The 11,245-nt window shown below is 33.8% G+C and overlaps 1 protein-coding gene across 15 annotated transcripts in view; it reads right to left on the minus strand.

The window, feature by feature from the left end:
- Positions 1 to 11,245, minus strand: part of DOCK7 (dedicator of cytokinesis 7) — a 233,661-nt gene that overhangs the window by 155,245 nt on the left and 67,171 nt on the right. For all 15 annotated transcript variants that reach the window (XM_047432967.1, NM_001272001.2, NM_001272000.2 and 12 more), the window contains exons 13-14: positions 9,930 to 10,023; positions 8,736 to 8,898 (exon numbers count right to left, since the gene is read on the minus strand). In XM_047432967.1, coding sequence (XP_047288923.1) covers positions 8,736 to 8,898; positions 9,930 to 10,023 — 257 coding nt within the window. The remainder of the gene's footprint in view (positions 1 to 8,735; positions 8,899 to 9,929; positions 10,024 to 11,245) is intronic.

The raw sequence follows: 11,245 nt of genomic DNA on the forward strand, positions 1-11,245 counted from the left end.
CTCCTGAGTAGCTAGGATTACAGGTATGTGCCACCATGCCTGGCTAATTTTTGTATTTTTAGTAGAGACGGAGTTTCATCATGTTGGTCAGGCTGGTCCCGAACTCCTGACCTCGTGATCCGCCTTCCTCGGCCTCCCAAAGTGCTAAGATTACAGGCGTGAGCCCCCGCGCCCAGCCGACTCAGTTTTTATAGTTAAAATAAACTAGGACCAATTCGATAGAATAAAACTCAGAGTGGTATAACAAGGACAAAACCAAAATAGCAGAGTATGTGGCAGTAGCTTGAGACATCTATGAACTCTAAAAATAAAAACAAAAACCAATACTTTCTGAAGCAGAGAACCATACACTTGAATAGAAAAAAAAATGCTCCTGAATTTTCAGTAACGTTCAGCTGAAATTTATACTTCCTTAAATTATGAATGTAGTAAACCAACCACAGCAGTATTACCAGTATATAAGATTTTGTCATTAATAGAAACATACATTTACTATTATTATTATTATTATTATACTTTAAGTTCTGGGATACATGCGCAGAACGTGCAGTTTTGTTACATAGGTATACACGTGGTATGGTGGTTTGCTGCACCCATCAACCCGTCATCTACATTAGGTATTTCTCCTAATGCTATCCCTCCCCTAGCCCCACCCCGACAGGTCCCAGTGTGTGATGTTCCTTTCCCTGTGTCCATGTGTTCTCATTGTTTAGCTCCCACTTATGAGTGAGAACATGTGGTGTTTGGTTTTCTGTTCCTGTGTTAGTTTGCTGAGAATGATGGTTTCCAGCTTCATCCATGTCCCTACAAAGGACATGAACTCATCCTTTTTTATGGCTGCATAGTATTCCATGGTGTATATGTGCCACATTTTCTTCATCCAGTCTATCATTGATGGGCATTTGGGTTGGTTCCAAGTCTTTGTTATTGTGAATAGTGCTGCAATAAACATGTGTGCATGTGTCTTTATAGTAGAATGATTTATAATCCTTTGAATATATACCCAATAATGGGATTACTGGGTCAAATGGTATTTCTAGTTCTAGTTCCTTGAGGAATCGCCACACTGTCTTCCACAATGGTTGAACTAATTTGAAACATACATATTTTTATATCACAACTATTATAGACATCTCAAAATATTGTTGATGCTTATTACTATTTAGAAAATACAATAGTTTTTTAACCTGAGGCCAGATCATGTTATTTCATTCATCAATAAACACATATATCACAACTTTAATATTTTGATAATTTTAATTCAATGTAACTGATTTCCTTTGTTATTCTATATATTTTATTTCATGCATTTAAAAACATTTAAACATTACAGATTGAGTATCCCTTATTCAAAATGCTTAAGACCAGAAGTCTTTCAAATTTCATATTTGTTTTGGATTTTGGAATATCTTTATACTCACGGTTGAGCGACCTCAAATCTGAAAATCCAAAATGCTTCAACGAGATCTTCTTTGAGTATCATATGGGTGCTTGAAATGTTTTGGATTTTGGAGCATTTAAGATTTTGGATTTTCAGATTTGGGATGCTCAATATATATTTCAAAAAAGGGTATCACAGGATTCACAAGACGACCACAAGGTACCATGGTACACAAAAAAATTAGCAGCCCATGTTCAAAGGACCTACTGTCATGTAATAACCTAGTTTAAGAAACATGAATTACATGGCTCTCATGTCATAACATCAACAGCACACATATTCTGACTGGCCAAGCTCTTCCTTGAAACAATATTTTAGGAAAAAAAATTTAATCAGTATATAATAAGCTTATTCAACTACTCAAGAAAAAAAAACTGATGATAGTAAAATTCTAAAGAGATCATAAAACATTTCATTTGTTATTGAGGTTAACTTTTAAAAGTCCTTATCTGGCCAGGCATGGTGGTTCATGCCTGTAATCCCAGCACTTTGGTAGGCTGAGGTGGGCGGATCACCTGAGGTCAGGAGTTCGAGACATGCCTGGCCAACACAGTGAAATCCCATCTCTAGTAAAAATACAAAAAAAAAAAAAAAATTAGCTGGGTGTGGTGGCTTGCACCTGTAGTCCCACCTACTTGGGAGGCTGAGGCAGGAAAATTGCTTGAACCCGGGAGGCAGAGGTTGCAGTGAACCAAGATCATGCCACTGTATTCCAGACAGGGCATCAGAGCAAGATTCTGTCACACACAAACACACAAAAAAGTCCTTATCTGTTAGAGATACATACTGAAGGATTTTCAAGTGAAATGATAGGATGTCTAGGCTTTGCTTCAAAAATATTACCAACAAAACAAAAGACAGGACAAGTAACAGATAACACAAAAATGACAATGCAAGTTAATTAATCTGTTCTCTAATGAGAATATATGGGCACAGTGAGGGAACAACACAGACTGGGGACAGTCAGGGGGTTGGGTGCAAGGGAGGGAGAGCATTAGGACAAATAGCTAATACACGTGGGGCTTAAAACCTAGATAACAGATTGATAGGTACAGCAAACCACCATGGCACACGTATACCTATGTAACAAATCTGCACATTCTGCACTTGTATCCCGGAACTTAAAGTAAAATAAAATTAAAAAAAAAATTAATCTGTTCTCTTTACTTTTAGGTGTATTAATTTTAGGTGTAGGTGTATTAATTTGTTCCCTTTACTTTTATAATTTTCCATAATAAAAGTTTAAAACTATATTCAGATTAGATCAGAGAAAATAGATTTACTAAAATTTATTAAGAGATGTATGGGCATATTCCTAACAGACCAAAATCCTTTTGTTTCTCACCCTGACAGTTACCAGGTCTGAACCATTGTATTCATTCTTACATTCTTAGTAACGCACCATGTTTGCTAGATATAGTCTTTCAAAAATACTAAGTAGAAAAACAAAGATACAAACATTCAACAGGTGATTACAACTAAGGCCATTACTGGAAATGCGGCTAACTCTAACAATCCTGCCAAGAATACCATGTGTTCTGTGGACATACCTCTTAAAAACTGGATGTCAGTAAAACACATAAGCATTTGCTCAATTAATGTACCTTGATCTATTACAACTCAAATACAACAGTGGTGATCAAGTAAAAATTTGGAACACAAGTAACATTGCATACAATCTATTACCTAACTTTCAGATGATTTCAAATATCCAATAAAAGATTTTTTTCACCATTGAGAAAGATCTTTATTTGGTTTACTTAATGTTAACAATTACACTAGTACTTTTTCTAAAATACTGTGATAGGGTAAGTACTTCCTTGATAAAGCAAGAATTTGATGTAAACCCCACTTGTATGGTGCAGTAAGAAACAAGTCATTCATTTTCTGATTGTTAGAAACTACCATATATTTGTGTATCTTCATCTACCCCTGTAGAGAATTTGAAAAGATCAGGCCCCTCTTCAGTTAACCCTATGCAAATAAATGTGACCAGCTGTGTGTGGGAGGTAGGGAGGCGCGGGGAACGACAGAGTTTGTTATTTAAAGGTGAAAATCTCTAGCTTCAGGTATAACTTAAATAACAGATTTAAGTCTTTAAGAAGACTCAACATCTTCAAAAGAATATTTTTTAAAGTGTACATAATAAAAGTAAATTAAACTAATATAGACCTCTTTAGACAGCTTTCTCTGAATTATCTGATAACGAACATAAAAATGAGAAGTGAAAGGTGTATAGGAAATCTGTCACTTTCAGAATACAGTTCTCTTTCCTACGATTTCTCAACTCAGTCAAATGCTTCAATGATGTCCATTCATTCCCCCTATATTCATGCAGTTTTTAATTTTTTCCCTATGAGACCCTTTACAATCCTCTCAAGTTTCTCACTAAAACTAAATACAATATGGAAATATTTTCTTAAAACACACATGAACAATGCTTAAATTCCTATTTTTTTCAGATATAAATTTGAACCCCCTGAACTTCAGCTTTGTCATCTATAAAATAGGGATAACCACATTGGTTCTGTGCAGGCTGCTATCAGAGTTAATAGATAATGGCCATATATAAACTAAAAGGAGCCCTAGTGTCAACTTTATCTTCCTTTTTTTTAACATTATTCACTGGGAAAATGTGTACACAAATATTTGTATAGTGACCACTGGTATGTATTATCACAAATTATGTCTTATCCTGAAACATTCCTGAGAAGGCAAAAAGAATCCAAATGAGCTAAAAGATTATCATCACCATGATCCAGCATAACCATTCAGTTAGCAAATATTTATGGAACTTTCTGTAAATTATTGATGATATTTGTATATTAGCTGTCAGCTGCTGAGGTTGTCATACATCCCTTTTCGTCATTCCAAAATTATTTCTACCTATGCTAGGTTTCTAGATATGCTTAAGGTTTTTGTTTTTTTTTAAAATAAACTATCAGTTCCTAAACATATAAGCTGTCCATAAGGCCAAGTTTTTCTAACAGCATCAAATAGAATAAACAACTTTTAATGATTTGGTTTTAAGGTCCCATGGACATTGATGGTCTAATAATACAAAGCAGGCCAATATTGACTCTGATAATCTCCCTTTTAAAATAATTCTCTTATCCAATTATACCCCAGATGCCTAGTACCCTCATGCTTTTCAAACCAATCTCTCTCAAGTTGTATAGTGCATGAGTAAATGTAATCTAATAAAGCCAAAAACAATAACAACTTCTATTGAGCATTTAATATGTACTGCATTACTTTGTGACATGCACTTTACACATATTTAATCCCCATAGATTTCTAAGATATAGGTACTTTTATTATACCCATGTTAAAGGAAGGAAAAATCATTCCTCAATTTTAAATACAGTAAGTCCTCACCTAATGTCATAGCTACTGTGACACTGGATAATGTTCTTGGAAACTGTGACTTTAAGAGAAGGACTTTAAGGACCATGTGCAGCAGGTTCTTGAATAATATCATTTTGTTCAGCATTGTTTTGTTATAACATTGACTGGAAAAAAAATGGTTTCGTCACATGTCATTTAGCTTAAAACCTTAGTTTCCAAGAACCTATTAACAATTTTAAGTGAGAACTTACTGTAATTCCTAAAAATGAAACATGGTTACAAAATACAGGTTACGAGAGCCCATCTCCCAATTTTTCATAAGCTACACATATAGTCGTACCATTTCAAGTAACACAAAAATTATTATTTCTTTATGTAATTTGGAGATTATTTTTAAAAGGGAATGGTCAACTTTATAATCATATTTTGTTAAAGAAACTATTTGGCAAAACAGTAACAACAGGAAAAAAGTCAACCAAGTATAGTAATCACAATTCTACTTCTGAATTTTCATGTAGTATCTAATTTTCTCTACTTCACTGAGGATACTCTTATACTAGAAAATTATTAATCGCTTTCTTAAAATAATGCATCCTTTTTGCTCCAACAGTTCTCACTGGTACTTGCTACTAACAGAGCACTAGGATCATTTCCATAAACTAAGAAACTTAGCCTTGACATTCTATATCACATTTAACCAATGTCTGTTAACAGGTTAAAGCATTTTATATAAGTTCCTTACAAACTGTATATAAGGAGGAATAAGGTTATGTAAAGCCCTAATCTGAAATCAATTCATTTTGATGAAAAACATTAAAGCCTAAATCAGTATTCATATTCAATAAAAGTTAAATAGGAGTAACTCTAATCTTTATGATGAGCTTAGCAAGTTCTATTATTCTCTGGAAATAAACTGTTCACTCATGAGAGAAAAATGGTTATTCTATAAACATTTAATGAGTCCTTTTTTAAAAGCTTCTTGCCTACAATATTATTTTTACTAATAATGTCTGGAATGAGTATTAACTCTGTAATTAATAGAATGTCTAGATACAGTCCAAACTAAAGGCACTGAGATACGTTAAATGATCTCTCAACATCATTCTCAAATTAATATGCTATAATTCATTTTTATACTTGAAAAATTTAACTCCCAGAATAGAAACTAATTATAGTTTTTGGACTATCACTTAGCCTTACCAATACTAACCACTTCAAGTGAGAAAGCATTCCACCCTAAAAACCAAAAGCAAACCCAAATAAACAAATGATCTTAAACAAGCACTAATACATGTTTACATAATTTCCATTAAACTCAAAAAGCAAAACCATACTAACTTATAATTTATAAAATCCCCTTAAATCATTTGATGTATGAACTTTTTATCTCCTCCAGAAGAGGATGTTACATTAAAACTGGATACATCCTTAAGAGAAAACAACGTGCTGCCTTATTTGGCACGGTATCTTCTCACTTGGTATGAGCGCATTACTCAATTCCCATTTAAGTTCTGTAACATGTCTGGATTATCTATATTGGCTCTTTTTCCATTAATTCACAGAAAAGATACCCTAGAATCCATTTATATCAAGTGTATCACTTACATCAACTGTAAGACATTAAAAAAAATTAAACAAATATAAATAATGGTGTAGATTTTGAGGCTAATGTAAGATAAAAGTGTTCTGTTTTAATAAAAATGTAGCAAACAATTCTCTACCAATGAGAAATTTTATTTTTATTCAAATTATATATAATTATGAATGCTGGATGTCCTAACATTCCAAAAGATGAAGAACACAGAAAATGAAGTAAGAAGGCTTGGGTTCAAGTCCAAACAAGTCTCTTAATTCAGCCTTCTGTCAGTAGAGAAGTGGAGACAATAATACTGCCAGAATTATGTAATGTATAAGATTTCTATGAGACTGAATAAACTAATTTAAATGAAATTATATTCTATAAAGCACTAAATAAATGTCATCATATCAATATGTCAACACGAAATTTCAGAACACCAGTGATAAAGAAAATAATTCAAAAAGTCTTAGGGCAAAATAAGACGCAAAAGATTAGCAATCAGTATAATATTGGACTACTCAAGGGTACTGCTTAAAGCCAGAAGACAGTAGTTATATTTTCAAAGTTATGATAGAAAATGATATAGAATTTAGAATTTTATACCTGGCAAAACTATTAATTTGAGAGTAAAGGTAAAGATACTGTCAGACATAAAAGAAAATTTACCTCCCACACATCCTATTTAAGAAAGATACGAAAGCTTTCAGTGAAATGAGCAAACTAAGGAAAATACATGAAAAATAAGGACTCTATTGCAAAAAAAAAAAAAAATGCAAAGAAAATGTCCAGGATAATGGTAAATAGGCTCTAAGATGACAATTGTACAGTAAGCCTAAAAAGCCTACAAAACTTCCTCTGCAAGGGAGGAAATAATTGATTGTTGATGTATTTCACTGTACTATAAGAGGTTTTACAGAGAGTTTTAGCACTAACACATAGAAAAGGAGCCAACTCATGCAGTGTCTTATAGACTGTTAGAAAAAATTCATTCTTTTTCTGTTTGTAATAGAAGCACTGGAGAATTTCAGACACAGGAATGAATGATTTGATTTACAATTTTCAAAGAATTCTCTGGCTGCAATGTTGAGAAGTGACTGAGACAGGAGTAGAAATAAGATAGCCAAATTAGTAAGGATAGCAAAATTCAAGATCAGAGACTGTCTAATATGGTAGCCTTTAGCCCCAGGTGGTTATTAAGCACTTGAAATGTGGCTCATCTGAATTGAAATGTGCTTTAACTATAAAATACACACTAGATTTTGAAGTTAGCAGAAGAGAACAGAAGTAAAATATCTCAATAATTCTTAACATTTATTACATGTTGAAATGATAATACTTTAGATACACTGGTTTCAATGACATATATGATTAAAATTAACTTTACCTGTTTCTTTTTTTTAATGTAGCAATTATAAAATTTTAAATTGCAAATGTGGTTCCCATTATATTTCTGTTTCACAGTGCTGATCTAGATGGTGACAGACTAGAATTTTTAAAAGGTGGAAGTAGTAAGAAGTACAGATCAGGATATATTTTGGAAGTAGAGCCTATGTAACTTGTTGGCTGAATAAATGTGAGGGGTAGGAAAGGAGAGAAATCATAATAATTCCAAAAATTTTGTCCTCAGGAACTTGGTAAATGGTGGTAAAAATATACTAGGATGGGGAAGTCTAGGATGAAATCCAAATTTCTGTTTTAGAATCTTATACCTGAGCTGCCCTACTGAATATCCCAACAGACATGTCAAGTTCTGGTCTCGGCATTCACAAATAAAGGGTATATCATTCATAAGGAGTACATGCAAATGGCACCCCCAGAGTTATGTAATGTTCAGTCTGAAAAGTTATATCTGACAACGTCATGTCAAGTATTCTCTAGATAGGATATACTCAACAAATATTGTTGATTTATTAGAACATAATGCAGGCACATAAATTTGATTCTTGTGTAATGCTAGATTCTGCTACTAAAAACATTTGAGAAAACATAGTAATTAGGAGTTCAAATGTTTTAACCTAAAGGCCCAGGAATCAAATCCCATCACCATCACACTAAGGTGTGATGCTCAGCAAAATGTTTAACCTCTCTAACCCTTGGTTTACTCACCTCTAAAATAAAAGTAAAATCCACCTCAAATAATGAGGATTAAATAAGACTAAAAAAGATAAAGCATGTAAGGTAATTAACATTATACCTGACACACAGAAAGCCTTAATACGTGAAAACTATTAATAAAATTGTGCGGTAAGAGATAGAGTTAAGTAACAAAACTACTTAAGATTTTTGGAGAGTTTATTCTAGTTATACTTTAATATTTTAGAATATACAGTATCTTCTATCAGAATTCTCCAAATTAAAATCTCTTACCTGTAAGTAGTGTTTGGAACATAAACATCCCTTGCGGGAAACTCTAAGATTTCTCTGGTAGGTCTAACTCTACTGTCAGGGTAAAGCTTCACTTGAAGCAGCTCCGGAGTTAGGCAATAATGGGGATTTTCAGGTGCGGGAGAAATGTCTATCTTGAGCTGAGCTGCAAATTATATATTAAAAAACAATGTAAAGACAATAAAAAAGTCCACGTTAAACATGTTTTTTAAAGGACTTGGATCCTATTTTTGCAAGAAGTCTGGGAAGAATATTACAGAAACCAAATTTATATTATTATCATCTCATGCCTCTAAATCATTTCATTTTGCAAAGTCTCAAACTTAAAAATTACCGATCCAGACATAAATGCACGTAAAATAATAAATGCTTATTAAATAAATGAATGGGAATGAAGGAAGGAAGAAGCAAAAATAGAAAAAAAAACCAGAGGGATCTGGCATAGGAACAAGCTAAGTCATTTCAAAGATTAAAAGACTTAGTTTTGACTTAGCAAACTTTAAGACATTTTTACTCTGGAATGGTTTGCTCCAATCATAATATGAATCTATTTTTTAATATTTACCATTCTATTACCATTCTAGAAAATAATTTTAAGCCATGATATTATTCATCACACTCACTTTAGTATAGTAATTCCTTCCATCCCCCGCTGGGGATATATTTTAAGACCCAACCCCTAGTGGATGCCTGAAACTGCAGACAGTACCCAACCTTATAGATACTGTTTTTCCCTATACATACATGCCTACAATAAAGTTAAATTTATAAATTAGGCAAAGTAAGAGATTAATAACCCTAACTCATAATAAAACAGAGCAATTATAACAATATACTATAATAAATGTTACATGAATGTGGTCTCTTTCTCCCTGTTCCTCTCTCCAAATATCTTAATATTTTCACATCGTGGTTGACTACAGGTAACTGAAACTACGGAAAGAGAAACAATAGGTAAGTGGGGACTACTGCACTCAAAGTACCAAAGATGCTGAATCCTGCATCCAAACTGTCAGATCACATGATAGTTAATAAAGTGAAGAAGACTGACAGGCATTGGGCATAGAAAAATGTCTGGGCCAGATAAATAAAAAAAAAAGATACATAATTATAAGCAATACAACATAGTAGTGATAATAATAGTTGCAACCATTTCTACTCAAAATTTTTAAATACCTGTAATAGGTCTTAGTCGCCGTAAGACAGAAGATGGCCTTCTCATATCAGCAAGGAATTTGTAGAGATCTTCATCACTTAAGCGGTCTCCTTCCTGATTTCAATAATAGAGGAAAAAGTATTTGATAAAACAAATATAGCCAGGCACAGTGGCTCACGCCTGTAATCCTAGCACTTTGGGAGGCTGAGGCGGGCGGATCATATGAGGTCAAGAGTTTGAAACCAGCCTGGCCAACATGGTGAAACCCCGTCTCTACTAAAAATACAAAAAAAATTAGCCAGGCATGGTGGCACGTGTCTGTAGTCCCAGCTACATGGGAGGCTGAGGCAGGAGAATCACGGGAGATGGAGGTTGCAGTGAGCCAAGATCACATCACTGCACTCTAGCTGGGGTGATGGAGCAAGACTCTGTCTCAAAAATAAAAATAAATAAATAAATAAATAAAGATATATATATGATGAAAAATAAATTTATAGTTTGTTAGTAAGCATGCCCTTATGCCTACAATGTAGTTAGAATAAAAAATTAAATTAAAATTATGATTATAAATATCATACCAGTTTATTTCCTTTTTTATGCTTTCAAATTTTACTAAGATTTAATAATACCACTGTCTTTTTTCTTATTTATAGTCCATTATCTATGCCTATAAAGTATTACAAAATACTCTCAAATATAGAAAACCAATACAAGTTACTGGCCGGGTGCAGTGGCTCACGCCTGTAATCCCAGCACTTTGGGAGGCCGAGGCGGGCGGACCATGAGGTCAGGAGATCGAGACCATCCTGGCCAACACAGTGAAACCCTGTCTCTACTAAAAAATACAAAAAAAAATTAGCCGGGCGGGATGGCAGGCGCCTGCAGTCCCAGCTACTCGGGAGGCTGAGGCAGGAGAATGGCGTGAACTCGGGAGGCGGAGCTTGCAGTGAGCTGAGTTCGCACCACTGCACTCCAGCCTGGATGACAGAAAAAGACTCCGTCTCAAAAAAAAAAAAAAAAAAAAAGGAAAGAAAACCAATACAAGTTAGAGATAGATGAAAAAGAGAAGAGAAAAATAAGAACACAGACATAAAACAGAATCAAAAAGCAAACTAATATAAAAATACTTGAGTCTCATAAATTTATTACTTTTTAGTTCATATTTGTGTTTTCAACTTTATATCACAAATTTCTCCAATGCAAAATCTGCAGCACTGGCTAAGGTGAGGAGGAGAAGAAGGAAGAAAGGAGGAAGAGAGAGGAAGAAGAGGGAGGAAGGATTTAGACGAGGGAGGGAGGGGGAGGAGGAATAGGAGGAGGAAGAAACTACTGTTAA

The sequence above is a fragment of the Homo sapiens genome, chromosome 1 (genome assembly GCF_000001405.40).
Source record: "Homo sapiens chromosome 1, GRCh38.p14 Primary Assembly".
Classification (NCBI taxonomy): Eukaryota; Metazoa; Chordata; class Mammalia; order Primates; family Hominidae; genus Homo; species Homo sapiens.